At 38.0% G+C, this 16,437-nt stretch overlaps 3 annotated features.

Annotated features, from left to right (window-relative positions):
• Positions 13,056-13,620: an enhancer, noted in NCBI's record as "OCT4-NANOG-H3K27ac-H3K4me1 hESC enhancer chr3:27085107-27085671 (GRCh37/hg19 assembly coordinates)". NCBI's record gives its function as "activates a minimal SCP1, AML or CMV promoter by ChIP-STARR-seq in primed H9 embryonic stem cells {active_cell/tissue: H9 hESC(primed)}" and the evidence as "EXISTENCE:reporter gene assay evidence [ECO:0000049][PMID:30033119]".
• Positions 13,621-14,184: an enhancer, noted in NCBI's record as "OCT4-NANOG-H3K27ac hESC enhancer chr3:27084543-27085106 (GRCh37/hg19 assembly coordinates)". NCBI's record gives its function as "activates a minimal SCP1, AML or CMV promoter by ChIP-STARR-seq in primed H9 embryonic stem cells {active_cell/tissue: H9 hESC(primed)}" and the evidence as "EXISTENCE:reporter gene assay evidence [ECO:0000049][PMID:30033119]".
• Positions 14,185-14,749: an enhancer, noted in NCBI's record as "OCT4-NANOG-H3K27ac hESC enhancer chr3:27083978-27084542 (GRCh37/hg19 assembly coordinates)". NCBI's record gives its function as "activates a minimal SCP1, AML or CMV promoter by ChIP-STARR-seq in naive and primed H9 embryonic stem cells {active_cell/tissue: H9 hESC(naive and primed)}" and the evidence as "EXISTENCE:reporter gene assay evidence [ECO:0000049][PMID:30033119]".

Raw genomic sequence — 16,437 nt, 5'->3', positions numbered from 1 at the left:
AAAGAAAGCCTCTTAGAAATATGAGATTATGTAAAGCAACCAAACCTACAACTCATTGCCATTCCTGAGAGAGAAGAGAATGTAACAACTTGGAAAACATATTTGAAGATATAATTCAGGAAAATTTCCCCAATCTTACTAGAGAGGTTGACATGCAGATACAAGACATCCAGAGAACTCCTCTGAGATACATACAAGATGATCATCCCCAAGGTCCATAGTAATCAGACTTTCCAAGGTCAATTCAAAAGAAAAAAAGCTTAAAGGCAGCTAGAGAAAAGGGCTATATTACATATCAAGGGAATCCCATCAGAAAAACAACAGACTTCTCAACAGAAACCCAAGCCAGAAGAGACTGGAGACTTATTTTCAGCATTCTTAGGGAAAAGAAATTCCAGCCAAGGATTTCATATCCTGCCCTAATACACTCCATAAATGAAAGCGAAATAAAGTCTTTCCCAGCCAAGTAATTGCTAAGGGAATTTATCACCACCAGACCAGCCCTACATGAGACGCTTAAGGGAATTCTAAACATGGAAATGAAAGAATGATACTTGCTACCACAAAAGCACGTGTAAGTACATATCTCACAGACCCTGTAAAACAGCTACATAATCAAGACTACAAAGCAACTAGATAACAACACCATGTCAAAAAGAACACCTCACATATTAATATTAACCTAAATATTAACCTAATTATTTAACCTAATTAACCTAATTAATTAACCTAATAACCTAAATATTAATCTAAATATTAACATAAATTGTCTAAATGCTCCACTTAAAAGATATAGAGTAGCAAACTGGATTAAAACAAAGACTAAACTTTCTGCTGTCTTCAAGAGACCCATTTCACATGTAATGAAACCCCTAGGCTCAAAGTGAAGGGAAGGAGAAAGATCTGTTATGTAAATAGAAAACAAAAAAATCATAGGTGAATATTATTGTGTCAGATGAAACAGACTTTAAATCAATAACAGTAAAAAAAAAAAAGGGACAAAAGAGAGCATTACATAATGATAAAGGGTTCTATTCAACAAGATTAACTATCCTAAATATATATACACCCAACATTGGAGCACCCAGATTTATAAAACAATTACTACTAGACTTAAGAGAAGACTTATGCAGCCACACAATAATAATGGGAGACTTCATACTCCACCGACAGCATTAGACAGAGCATCAAGGGAGAAAACTACAAAGAAATTCTGGACTTAAATTCAACATTTCACCAATGGGACCTAATAGATATCTACACAATTCTCCACCCAACAACCACAGAATATACATTCTTCTCATCTGCACACAGATCATACTCTAAGATTGACCACGTGCTCAGTCATAAAAAAAGTCTCAACAAATTCCAAAAAACTGAAATCACAGCAAGCATTTTCTTGGACCACAGTGGAATAAAAATAAAAATCAATACCAAGAGGAACCCTCAAAACCACACAAATTCATGGAAACTAAACAATTTGTTCCTGAATGACTTTTGGGTAGACAATGAAATTAATGCAAAAATGAAAACATTCTTTGAAATAAATGAAAATAGAGACACAAGGTACCAAAACCTCTGAGACGCAGCAAAAGCAGAATTAAGAGGAAAGTTGATAGTGCTAAATGCCTACATCAAGATGATAGATTTCAAATTAAGAACTTAACATTGTACCTAAAGGAACTAGAAAATCAAGAACGAAATAAACCAACAGCTAGCAAAAGAAAAGAAATAACTAAAATGAGAGCAGAACTAAATGAAATAGAGACCAAAAAAAATCATTCAAAGAATCAACAAGAGAAAAAGTTTGTTCTTTGAAAGGATAAACAAGATTAATAGACCATTAGCTAGATTAACAAAGAAAAAGAGAGAAATGGTGCAAAGAAGGACAATAAAAAATGACAAAGGTAACATTACAACCGATCACACAGAAACACAAAAGTGCCTCAGAGACTATTCTGAATTCCTCCATGCACACAAACTAGAAAATCTGTAGGAAATAGATACATTCCTGGAAACACACAACCTCCAAAGATTGTACCATAAAGGAGCAGAAACCCTGAACAGACCAATAATGAGTTAAGAAATTTAATCAGTAATAAAAAGTCTACTAACCAAAAAAATCCCTGGATCAGATGGATTCAGAGCCAAATACTACCAGACATACAAAGAAAAGCTGGTACCAATCTGACTTAAACTATTCCAAAAGATTATGGAAGAGGGACTCCTCCTTAACTCATTCTAGAAAACCAGGATCATTCTGATACCCAAATCTGGCAAAGACACAGCAGAAAAATAAAACTACAGGCCAATATCCCGGATGAAGATAGATACAAAAATCTTCAATAAAATACTAGCAAACCAAATCCAGCAGCACATCAAAAATCATGTTGAGATGAAACCATGATCAAGTGGGCTTTATCTCTGGAATGCAAGACTAGTTCAATATATGCAAATCAAAAAATGTGATTCACCACATAATCAGTGTTAAAAATAAAAACCATATGATCATCTCAATAGACACAGAAAAAGCATTTGATAAAGTCCAGCATTGTTTCATGACAGAAGTCTTCAACAAACTATGCATTTAAGGAAATATACCTCAAAATAAGAGCCATCCATGACAAACTGACAACCAATATCATGCTGAATGGGCAACAATTGGAGGCATTCTCTCTCACAACTGGAATAAGACAAGGATGTCCACTCTCACCACTTGTATTCAACATAGTACTGGAAGTCCTAGCCAGAGTAATCAGGCAAGATAAAGAAATAAAAGGCATTCAAACAGGGAAATAGGAAGTTAAATTATTTCTCTTCACTGATGCTGTGATTCTATATCTAGGAAACCCTAAAGATTCCATCAAAAGATTTGATGACTTTAGTAAAGTTTCAGGATACAAAGTCAACATACAAAACTCAGTAGCATTTCTATACACCAATAACATTCAAGCTGAGAACCAAATCAGGAACATAATTCCATTTACAATAGACAAACACACACACACACAACTAGAAATACATGTAACCAAGAAGTTGACAGATATCTACAAGGAGAACTACAAAACACTGTTGAAAGAAGTCATAGCTGACACAAACAAATGGAAAAGCATTCCATGCTTATGGGTTAGAATAATCAATATTGTTAAAATGTTCATGCTGCCCAAAGTGATCTACAAATTCAATGCAATTTCTATGAAATAACCAACATCATTCTTCACAGAAATAGAAAAACCTATTCTAAAATTCATATGGAACCTAAAAAGAGCCTGAATAGCCAAAGCAATGCTTAGCAAAAAATGACAAAGCCAGAGGCATCACATTAGCCAATTTCAAACTATCCTACAAGGTTACAGTAACCAAAACAGCATGATACTGGTAAAAATAGATATCTAGACCAACAAAACAGAATAGAGAACCCAGAAGTAAAGCTGCATACCTACAACCAACTGATCTTTGACAAAGTAATCAAATAGTGAGGAAAAGACACCCTATTCAATAAACAGTGCAGAGAAAACTAGCTAACCATATGTAGAAGAATGAAACTTGACCCCTACCCCACACCATATACAAAAATCAACTTAAGATGGATTAAATACTTAAATGTGACACCTCAAACTATAAAAAAAATCCCAGAAAAAAACCTAGGAAAATCCCTTCTGGACACTGGCCTAAGCAAAAAGTTTATGACCACGTCCTCAAAAGCAAATGCAATGAAACAAAAAATTGACAATTCAGACCTAATTAAAATGGAGAGGTTCTGCACAGCAAAAGAAACTATCAACAGAGTAAACAGACAACCTATAGAATGGGAGAAAATATTTGCAAACTATGCATCTGACAATAGACTAATATTCAGAATCTATGGGGAACAAATTAACAAGAAAAAACCAAACAGCCCCACTAAAAAGTGGGCAAATGAATAGACACTTCTCAAAAAAAGACAAACCATTGCCCAAGAAAATGAAAAAATGCTCAACATCTCTAATCATCAGAGAGATGCACATCAAACCACAATAAGATGCCATCTCACACCAGTCAGAATGGCCATAATTTAAAAAGTCAAAAAAGGACAGATGTTGGCAAGGTTGCAGAGAAAAGGGAATGCTTAAACATCATTGGTGAGATGGTAAATGAGTTTGGAGATTTCTCAGACAAATGAAGATAGAATTGCCATTCAACTCAGCAATTCCATTACTTGGTGTATATACCCAAAGGAAAATACATCATTCTACTAAAAAATGCAATAAACAGCTGCACTCCATGTTTATTGCAACAATATTCACAACAGAAAAGATATGAAATCAACTTAGGTGCACATCAAAGGTGGATTGGCTAAAGAAAATATGGTACATATATACTATGGAATTCTTTGCAGCCATAAAAAAGAACAAAATCATGTCATGGATGCAGTTAGAGGCCTAATTATCCCAAGAGAGTTAAAGCAGAGACAAAAGCAAATACTTCATATTCTCATTTATCAGTGGGTACTAAACATTGGGTATACATGGATATAAATATGAAAACAATAGACACTGGGGAATCCAAAAGTGATGGGAGGAAAGGGTTGAAATACTGCCTATTGGGTACTATGTTCACTATTTGGGTGACAGGTTCAACTGAGGCTCAAACCTTAGCATCAGGCAATATATTCATGTAACAAATCTGCTCATATAGCCTCTGACTATAAAAACAAACTCCAAAAGACTGGTGAGGAAATAGAAAAAGTCATTAGAGTGGGGGTTAGAATGAGGAATTTCCATCTCAAAGCACTAGGAACAGAGCAGAAAGTATTCTGGCATAGAACCCATATAACCCTGTTGTGGTAGACTGTGTTATTGGTCCCAGTTATTTACCCCTCTCTTTATCCATGTGACTTTACAGTGCCCACCCAATGTTGGCAAGGAGTACTTCTCTGCCTCTTGACATTGGTTTTGGCCATGTAACTAACTTTGGTCAAGAGAATAAGGTAGAAATGATGATATCCAGACCAGGACTAGGTCTCAAGAATATTTGCTTTTGCTTTTTATCGGGGGAACCAGCCCCCAATATTTCAATGTAGGTGTTTTTTCTATTTTCCCTAAGTGTCGGCCGGTCTGAGAAATAAAGAGGAAGAGTACAAAGAGAAGAATTTTATAGCTGGGCCGCTGGGGTTGACATCACATATCAGCAGGTTCCATGATGCCCACCTGAGCTGCAAAACCAGCAAGTTTTTATTAGGGATTTTAGAAGGGGAGGGGATGTACGAACAGGGAGTAGGTCACAAGGATCACATGCTTCAAAGGGCAATAAAAGATCACAAGGCAGAGGGCAGAGCAAATCACAAGGCAAGGGTGAAATTAGAATTACTGATGAGGGTCCATGTCCCACTGGGCATGCATTGTCTTGATAAACATCTTAACAGGAAACAGGGTTCGAGAGCAGACAACCAGTCAGACTAGAATTCACCAGGCTGGAATTTCACAATCCTAGTAAGCCTGAGGGCACTGCAGGAAACCAGGGCATATTTCGTCCCTTATCTCAACCGCATAAGACAGATACTCCCAGAGTGGCCAATTATAGACCTACCCCTGGGAAAGCATTCCTTCCCCAGGGTTATCAATTATTAATATTCCTTGCTGGGAAAAGAATTCAGCAATATTTCTCCTGCTCACACATCTGTCTATAGGCTCCCTGCAAGAAGAAAAATATGGCTCTATTCTGCTCAACCCCGCAGACAGTCAGACCTTATGATTATCTTTCCTTGTTCCCTGAAAATCACGTTATTCTGTTCTTTTTCAGTGTGCACTGATTTCATATTGTTCAAACACACGTTTTTACAATTTGTACAGTTAACACAATCATCACAGGATCCTGAGGTGGCATACATCCTCAGCTTACGAAGATGATGGGATTAAGAGATTAAAGTAAAGACAGGCATAAGAAATTATAAGAGTATTGATTGGGGAAGTGATAAATGTCCATGAAATCTTCACAATTTATGTTCAGAGACTGCAGTAAAGACAGGCATAAAAAAATTGTAAAAGTATTAATTTTGGGAACTGATAAATGTCCATTAAATCTTCACAATTTATGTTCTTCTGCCGTGGCTTCAGCCAGTCCCTCCGTTCAGGGTCCCTGACTTCCTGCAACAGCTTTTCTGTCTCTGCTATCACCATAAGAACATGCCAAGCTACTAGTCTTAAGGAGAAGGATGAGAAACATGTGGAGCAGTGATGAGTGTTGAGCCTCGCCTGGATCAGCCAGCCCACAGAGAGCTGCAGAATGAGTGAGAGAGCCAGCCAGTTCACAGATTCATAAGAACACATTATTGTTGTTCTAAGCCTATAATTTTGGGGTCAGTTTGTTTCACAGCATTAGTATGAACATAGTTAATGGATATACTGCCAGCATATCACCTAGAGATAATATGAAATGTAATTATGCTAGATACTTGCACACCTTCTAGAGATAGGGTAGGGGGCTTGAGAATCCTGTGCAGAATGGAGATAGAGGGAAAACCTAATTTCTGCCCAAGGTGGAACTCAACAGAGCTAGTGAGGAATTTCACTGTGATTAGCAGAAATTGAGAACTTAGATAAAATCTTGTTGGTGTAAAGAGGGTGAGTCTATGATTTATGAAACTACTGATTAGATATTAGTCATTCAATTCTGTCTATTGAGGAAACTCAGGATGTCAGATTTGCTTTGTTTGTTTGCTGTTACCCCTTACCTAGATAATCGTAGAATCTGCTCCTTGTTGGTCACCAGCCTTCTTTCCCTATAGTGGATACCCTGGCTTCATCCATCTATTTGCTTTCTGCTGTTAATGTCAGTCTATGTCAACAAAGACCTGCCATTTTTAGCAACTTCTAAATGATAGGCCATGTAGGAATGCAACATTTTATTATTCCATAAATGGAAAAGCCAAGTACTTTTTCAGAATGATTAAACTCAGCAACTAATCCATTATTGAGGTAATTACTTTTAAATTTGCTGAAATGTTAGAGCATAGCTGGCTGTGACATTGGAAAAAAATTGACTGCTTGTGGGCATTAGAGGCAGAGGGATTAAACAAAGTATGACAATGGCAAAATGTTCTGCTCAGTGTAACAGGCCTGAAGGTATTTGATGTTCTTCTCAGAAGTTAGTAGGGTAATCTATCTTTTAATGTACTAAATTCACGTCACTTCCACAGCTATACTCTTTGGCACTTCCCTCAGCTGCTAAGAATAATCACACAGTGGGTTTCCCCTTTATATTGACTGTCAATCACAAGGTATGACCTTGAAAGGGTCACTTCCCCTCTCTGAGTTCAGTTTTCTTACCAGTAAAAAGAGGTTGTATCTGAAATTATCTCTGAGGTCACATTCTGTTCTAAAACTGTATGATGCTTGAAAGGTCAGGTTAGGAAGGTGCAACTTAAAAAAAAACATGGATAAGGACGAAGGAACCAATCAGAGGCTGTGTGAAGTTGAATGGTGGTCAAGAGCATCTCCAGTTAGCATTATCATGGACAAAGAAGTGTCTGAAATGGTTAGGCCAGATTTCCGAAACTCTGGTTGCCTGCAGTTTAAGATATAATGGAGGCCCACACCGCTGAAAGGGAGATGTTGGGGGCTGAGGGGAAAGACAGAGTAGGAGTATGGAACTTCAAAGAAGTGAGTTAATGGGGGGAAATCTCTCTGACCTATGAACTTTTGCACTGTTCCTTTTGATTATCTTTTTTCAAGTTCTGTCTTGACTGCTTCTGCACATGATATAGAAGGTATAGCACCTGCTGACTGGGCGTGGTGGCTCACACCTGTAATCCTAGCACTTTGGGAGGCCAAGGCAGGTGGATCACCTGAGGTCAAGAGTTCGAGACCAGCCTGGTTAATATGGTGAAACCCTGTCTCTACTAAAAATACAGAAATTATTCAGGTGTGGTAGCAGGTGCCTATAATCCTAGCTACTTGGGAGGCTGAGGCAGGAGAATTGCTTGAACCCAGGAGGTGGAGGTTGCAGTGAGCCAAGTTTGCACCATTGCACTCCAGCCTGGGCAACAGAGCAAAAACTCCATCTCAAAAAAAAAAAAAAAAAAAAAAAGTATAGTGCTTGCCTATATTCAGAGAGACCTGAATGCAAATGTCTTTTGTCCTATTAACTGTGTCAGCTTAAGATAACCACTTAACCTGTGAGCTATGATTTTTATGTCTATAATATTGGAAAAATAATACCTGCATCAAAGGGTTGTGAGTTTTAGTTGAAACAATACACATGGCAAAGAAATCTCAACTCCAGCCTAGACTGGACCCACCATGGGTTTCAGCATCTGACAAATTTATGAGTTGGCCCAGGAGAAGTGTATTTTCAGGGGCTGTAAGGAAGTTTCCAGACAAAAATTCACCTTATGATGAGAAGGAGACATGCTTGATGAGCTTGATTATTTGTAATAGTCAGGGATCAATCATAAAAACTGTGAATTCCAAGGGATTGGGCCCCACATAATCTTGGAAACTTAATAAGCAGTCTATGCAAGGATGGTCCCTTTGTGTCTGCAAAATGGCAGTTGGTAAGGGAAGAGGAAATGAAATAGCAGAGACCAAGGGCAAACTAAAACCTGCAAAGATGAGCTGGAATCCATGTTTGTCCCTCCCTTTATATAATCGCAAAGACAAGGGCAACCTGCAGAAGACGCTGATGCCCTTCTCAACGGAGCTGAAAATGTATCTGCTCTAGGATTAGGGGAAGCCGAAGGAAAGATCTGGAAGGAGCTGAAAGAGCCGTAAGCCCACTGCCGCTCCTTGCCAGCGAGGTGGACCCACAGGTCAGTGACAATGTGCATCAGCTGCATCAGCACCTGGCCCCACACTCACCTTCAGAGCTTAACAAAATTGCCATGGATACACTTCCACCTTCCAAATCTCTTGTAAATCTCAGTAGAGCACCCTAACCTTAAGCCACATAAGGGAATTATGGGAAATGTCATTCCAGCTTAGATAAGTTGACAGTGAGAGACCATCACCTCCATTAATAAAGCCTTAGGAGGCTCTAAGCATAGCAAGGGGTCTAGTATTTGACCCCAGGTCCAGCCTAACTAAGGCCTTGGGAAAGAGTGAACACTGAAAGAGTGGATTTGTTCCATTTTGTCACACATTGACATGCAAGCATCACTGCTAGCCAAGATTAAGGGGGAGGGTATTTCTTCTTTGCTCACTTTATTCCAGGCTGAACACAGTGAGTGTGCTTGAAAGGGAATATGTAAATGTTTATACCTAAAATAGTAGGTATTTTTGGTGAAGAAAAAAAGAATATGACTTGGAAATGAATTCCAGAAGTGGGATCAAGTGGTCATCTTTTCAAGAATCAAAAAGTCCCTCTCAAAGGGAACAGGCACTCCCTGTAATTCAGGAGGCAGAAATTGCCAAAAAGAGAGGGACAACACAGTGGCAGCCCCAACTGGAGGATAGGCCCAGCTAAAGGAACAAATCAAAAGAATTCTGGTGATTGACAATGTGTAACTTTATAACACAATTTTAGAAAACTTGGATGAAATAGATAGTGGTCTAAAGAAAATACAAATGAGCAAAGCTGACTTAGGAGGAAATGAAAAATCTGAGTAGACCAATTATCAAAGACACAGCTGGAAATGATTAAAGATCTTTCCAATCAATAAATGTCTATTTCATACTTTTCTATGGGAAAATTCTTTGAGTCTTGTAAATGACAGATTATTCTAACTATATTTAAATTGTTGCAGAGCACAGAAAAATAAGGAAATGCCCCACCTAGATCTCCTATACTGGTCCAGAGTACCTGTCTCTGGGCTGCTGTGAATCTTGGCAGCTAATGGCTTACACTTCCCCCCTTTTCAGAGAACTGCTTATGGCCTCTGGGAGCTACTTCACCCAGAAATACTTGAGAGTTTGTACCCTATCTCCTGGGACAGCCCACATCAAATGACTAACTGTAGTGAGGGTACATAAACCCATCTTCCTTGCCTTGAAATGGGACCGTTCTGTGATATCATTTATGTGTTAGTGTTACCTGTGGGACTGGGTAGTCTAGAGTGCAACGTGAACTGGAGCTTGACATACTTCTTCCCCTCGTCCTATTATAACTGGCAAAAGGGTCTGGTTGCTTGCCATTTGTAAAAAGAAGCCAACATAGCAAGAGTGAGGTGTGATAAAAAGAGAGCGAGTTTTATTACCCATGTTAGCAAGGGGAGGAGTGGGTGTATTCTTTCCAAAAATTTTCACTGTTCCATTTGTGGAGGGAATGCGGAGGTTTTTAAAGAGAGGGTTTGGAATGCAGGAGAGGCAGCCGGGCTAGGCTATGTCAGGTGGCATGACCCACTCTGATGGCTCATCTTGAATTATTGTTTCATCTGGTGTCATCAAGGTTGGAGGTGTTGGTCTGTATCAGGACTTAGCCCCTGAAACTTCTAAGGAAATATTTTTGTATTATATGACCAGATAAGTGAGTATGGTGTGTGCTTAGCAAGCATCTAGGTAAATAAATGAGAATAGAATGGGAAAAGAAAGGGAGTGGAGGTTCACAGCTCATTCTGAGGCTGTATTTCAAGATGAAAGGTAAAATACATGCACTTTGTCTCAAGGTTTTATCTTAAGACTGGGAAGTAGGGGGAGGAGAAAAGGGGAAAGAAAAAAGAAATTTAAACATGGTTTGAGGCTAAGCTGCTAAGCTGTTTGGTTACATCATCCTGCTTCCATTCCTGTCTTACAGGTTTCTCTGGGGAGAAATCCCTCAATAAGTCAGTTGCACAGAATCCCTGTTTCAGACCTTGCTTCTATGACTTAAATAAGAATCAATCTTTTCTTGAAATTAAGAATCACTGATTTAATAGTAAAAAAGGAAAAAATATATCTTTAATAGGCTAGCAGAAAAAGAAAAGAAGAGACCAGTCTCATTTATAAATATTGACTCAAAAAATCCTAATAAAATAATTCAAATGGGATTAGTGCCACATCATGATTATTTGGGTTTTATTTCATGAATGAGTAAAAGGAAAAGAAATCTCAGGACCCTAAAACCTCTTAAGCCAAAGGGAAAAGTCAAGCTGGAAACAGCATCAGGCAAACTTGCCTCCCATTTTATTCCTAAATAACATAGCTATAAAGATTTTTTTTAAAAAGCTGCATACCTCCTTCACAATTTGTCCACAAGGAAATTACTTGGGGGGGGGGCCCTCAAGATCGTTACCCTGAGACAGTTCTGCTGAATTTTACCCTGGTAATGTAAACTGATAGCTTATCTTCACAGGTGTGGGGAAGTCATCTCTCTGCTCATCTGAGACAAATGCATATCTGATTGCTTCTTCTGCTCTAGTGTTTATGTAAAAACGCAAATTCACCTAGCCAGACTAAAGCATAAGTGACTATTCCTGTATTCTCCTGTCACATGTAAATTGTGTATTCAGTGAAAGGCTAATCAAAGACCCCAAAGAATGCATGTTAGTCTCTTATCTACCCATGACATGGAAGCCCCCCACCCAGTTCTGCTTTGAGTTGTCCCACCTTTCCGGACCAAACCAATGTACTTCCTACACATAGTGTCTGACTTCTCATGTATTCCTAAAACGTATAAAAGCAAGTTGTACCCTGACCACCTTGGGCACATGTCATCAGAACCTACTGAGGCTATGTCACGGGCATGTCCTTAACCTTGGCAAAATAAACTTTCTAAATTGATTGAGACCTGTCTCAGACACTTTGGGTTCACAAGTGCCAGGATAACTTGATGTTTCCAAATTGAATGCCATCATTCTCCTATTAATAGTTCAAAGAAAAAAGCACAATGATATCATAATAGCATATATATTTTTCAAAAACAAAACAAAAATGAAAGCCTTTCTTTTCATCTTTTATATCTGCTACAAGTCTGTTATGAGTTGAACAACTTCCTCATGAGGGCTATTGTCAATCAATCATGCGGTATTTTCTATAACATGGTATCATTTGGAAATGTAAATATGTGTACTTTAAGGGAGTGAAAGCTTTGAAAGACAGACCCAGGAAGGAAAATTTATTGCCTACAACATGGGCCCTCCAGGCTGGGCTACTGTTACTTTTACAAGTTCCGATGTTGTACTTTTGTGCCAAGTAGCATGAAATCTGAGGACAGATTAGCAGATTGACAAAATGGCCTGGGGGCTGCTTGGAGAGAAAAATTCTTGCATATACAAATGAATATAACAGTAAGGAAGTTACAAGTTTTACTAAGCCTCCAAGATCTGGAAGCAGTGACATAGAAGAAACTAAGGACATAAAAGCTGTGTGTTAACACAGGCTTTAGGAGTCTAGAGTAGCCCCAGCTACTAGGGAGACTCATGCAAGAAGGACGGCTACCCCAAGTTGTGGTTTTACATGGCAAATTTTCTAGGACTAATGATATTTAATAGACATAATTTATTAGAGATAAAAATTTTTGGTAACTATTTTAATACAAGTAAAACAAGTTCATTTTAGAAAACACAGATTTAAAAAAATTAAAAATTAATGTCACATATAATTCTTGCATACATCCTAGAAAATATCACTGTTATTGTTTTGCTATATTTCCTTCTCGGTTCTCTAACTTATTGTCTAGCTGTCTATTTACTGAGCTGTTTGTCCACCCAGGTGTCTGGTGAATGATCTTACACTATATTTTATATGCATGTCCTATAAGTGGTATGCCAATATAGTATTTATTGTATATTTATATATTTCTTTTAGAAAAATTGAGGCAGGAAAATAGGGTCTGGAGGCAGGGAACATAAGGTTTATTCACACTTCAGCTATAACAGGAAATATCCTCTCCATAGGGTATACACCATAAATGACTTTTGTAACTTTAATTCATCCTCTCCATTTAAATAGGGCATACCTAAAGGAACCAGTGGAATCCTCTAGGGGATATTTAAACTCCCAGAAATTCCATAATGGGGCCTTTGAGCTCCTATGCTTGGGCCCACTCCCACACTGTGGAGTGTACTTTCATTTTCAGTAAATCCCTTCATCCTTTCCTTGCTTTGTTTGTGCGTTTTGTCTAATACTTTGTTCAAGACACCAAGAACCTGGACACCCTCCACCTTTAACATATTTTGGTGAGCCAGCCGGGAGGAAGAGACAAGCCCAAAATTTGGGCTTTCTTCTTCTTTCTCCTTTTCTTTTCTGCTCCATATAGGGGAACCTCTTTCTCTCTCTTTTCCTTTCCAACCTGGGACCCGTGGTGGGCAGTGGCTAAACATGGAAGCAACTGCAGTTTTCTGGCTGTGGCCAGTGAAACTAAGGGGTTTTCATGTGGAGAAGCCTGACCACCATGGCCCAGTTCACTTAAGGAACCTGGGTCTTTTTCGTTTGTTTGTTTGTTTTTCTTTCTTTCTCAGTCTTTCAGTAGCTGTTTATAATTGCCCTGCCCCGAAGAGGGAAGGACTTCTTTTTATGTTTTCCATGCATGGTCCCTGATCCAAGCAAACTCACACGTGTTTCAGGGGACTTAAACTTTCTTTTCTTATGCAAAATTCTTCCCTCATTGTACTCAACTGGCTAAGGAACAAAAAGGCCCACCCAGCATCCAATTCTCATTACAGTTCATGGCTATGCTTATAAAGCTCACAGTATGTTCTGGAGGGGAAAATCTGCATGTGGTGTCCACCTAAGGTCAGAGACATCTGGCACTCTAAGACTGGACCCCACAGGAGGACGCTCCGTGGGTCCTGCGAACCCAACCACTCCAAAGAGGACACTCTTGGCACAGGTTCTGAGGTCTAGTATTAAGCCCTCCTTAGAATTTTCTCTCACAGTTGCAATGCTGCTTGGCCCTAGCATTGTTTGGAATCTGGAGTTTACTGTCTAATGGGAAAGTGGAATGGTATTCCATATATCCGGGCTTTTGTACTGTGGTTCTAAGCAGGGGGCCTGGTTAACGTGTGATGCCCTCCTTTGGTATGGTTTGGTCCCAGTGCTCTTTTGAGTCTGGGGAGGTTTGGCCTTTAAAAATGAAACTGCCATGGAGACTGCTTTACCCAAAATTTTGGTTCGCAGCCTTCATTGGATTATCTATTGGGGCAAAGTAAAACTGGGAAGCTTCTATTGCTGTCTCATGGCTAAGGTTTCAAGCTATTAGATCTTTGTTTATGTGTGTGTATACATGTCTAGATATGTTTATTTGTATATACACTTACTGTTACATGTTGTGTCTACCAAGTTGGCTTATAAGTAAAAGAGCACTCATAAATTAGTAAATGAGTCTAAGCAATTTTCAAGTTCACGTGACTTAAAGTATCACTTTACTAAACAAGCTAGCTTTAAAATTATTGATGGAAGAAAAATAGAAATGCCTTTAGAATTGTCAGCATATGTTTTGTCTGAATTTTATGTTTGTCTTTGCTAGATATTTTAAAATGTCAGTGTTAATTCAAGCTGGGAGCTGCTTGGGGTGAGCCTGCCTCCCATTCTATTCAAAGTCTCACTGAGATACATGCATATCTGATTGCTTCCTTTGGAAAGGTTAATCAGAAACTCAAAAGAAAACAACCGTTTGTTTCCTACCTGTGATCTGATAGCCCCCAAGCCTCCTTGCCTCAAATTGTCCTGCCTTTCTGGACCAAACCAATGTTCATTTTAAGTATGTTGATGTATCGTATCTCCCTTGTTAAAAGTAAAAAATTAAGGACAGTGATAGGATAGTTGTTTTAGGTAAACTTTTTGTGTAAATTAAAACTGTAAAGTTATTTTTGATGCTCATTTAATATCTGAATCATTTCCAATTAAGAAAGGATTGCAATATGAAGAAATATGTTTCTAAAATTGTAGAATTTTTCTTATGTATAAATGCCCATATCTAATAGTTCAGGATTTCTTGCTTTTTAGGGATTCACTAAAGCTTTATGTTACTAAGGATAAAATTCTAGTTAACACGTAGTTCTGTATACAAAATGTGCCAGAAAGGGTTTTGTTATGAGTGGAAAAAGAATAATTTTGTCTAATTCAGAAGTCATCTAAAAGTTGGCTCAAATTACATATTTGAAAAGTTATTTATGAAACAATGTAGTAAGGAACCATCAAGTAGGGGAGAAAGATGTGGAAAAATTTAGATAATAAAATATTCTTTAAAACCCGATAAATAACTGGAAACATTTGACTAATATTTCCACAGTAAAGCTCTTAGTCTTGATTAAAGTAAGAAGTATTGTGAAAATGCATCAGAAGTTTGACAATTTTTTTAAATATAGTTAAGCATGAATCTGGATTTAGTGTGGAGTCAAATTTTACATACACGCTTGCATTGCTTCACACTATGTTTACCGTTTTGCATGGATAGTGCTGGAGTACTTATTGGTTATGTGCCTAAAGTGAATTTCTTACTTGCACAGGAGGTATGATAATATTACTGAACTTATGGATATTGTGTATTAGTAATAAAATATTCATTATCTAGGTTTTCCGGGGCCCTAGGTAACACTGTAGCCTCCAGGGTAAATTGAGTAGGAAAATTTAGGGTTGGTTTTCCGCTTATTTATTTTGCTTCTAGTTTTCATTCACTTGCTATTTATTCTCCTCTGGCTTTGCTTGTGTATGCATATGTATAAAACCATAATTATTTTTTATAGTTCCTAGTGGAAGGTTTTTATTCAGTTCTGTGTTCCTATGCATTTCTAGCAAGTCATTATCCATTCCATTTATATGGAATTCCTAAGCTACCTTTGTTGGGCCTGCAGGGATTAATGGAGCACACCAGCATTTTATCTTTAACTAACTTTTTGGATTTTAGGCTTCCTGATACTTTAAGTGTATTGAGTATACTCTCATAAATAGAATTTGAGTCATATTTCTCTCTCTCTGCCTAATTTCTCAAAATTTGTTAAGTATTTGTGAGTATTCTTAATTCATGGCAGTGTGTTTGTTTACATATAGTCAAGCAGGGTTGCCAGGGCTGCTTAGGGAGAGAGAACCCAGAAACCTGGCATGCTGGCAAAAGGGTAAGAATTTCTTACCGATCAGTCTCTGGCCTCTTTCTCTCTGTGCAAACTGGTTAAATATAAAGTAAAAGCCAGTGTTTATCTGCTGTGTAAAGTTTTAATTAATTGGTTTATTAATAATAAGAGCTTAAATCAAATATTTTGTTAGAAAAGTAGAAAGTGTAATGCTTTTTACTTCATGTGACTTTAGCAATCTTTCGGAAATAAAGATGGTTTTAAAGATTATTGGTAAAATACAATTGTCTTCAAAATGTTAACATGTGGTCTAAATTATGTTCAGATATGAGGTTTGCTAAATGCTTTAAGGTGATAAACTGCTGCTTTGGCTTTTGAAAATTGTTTAACTTGCCTGCTTTCCAGCTAGGTAAGGCCTGGACATGCAGAGTTGTCCACACCCTAGCTATACTGTAAACAGTCAAACCCTATCAGAATATAACTTACCAGGTTTTACATTAAAGTTAAAATTGTTGAGTCACCACTGTAACATGCAA

The sequence above is a fragment of the Homo sapiens genome, chromosome 3, assembly GCF_000001405.40.
Source record: "Homo sapiens chromosome 3, GRCh38.p14 Primary Assembly".
In the NCBI taxonomy this organism is placed as follows: Eukaryota; Metazoa; Chordata; class Mammalia; order Primates; family Hominidae; genus Homo; species Homo sapiens.
Note: the sequence above shows the minus strand (reverse complement) of the source record. Positions and strands in the feature narration are given on the sequence as shown.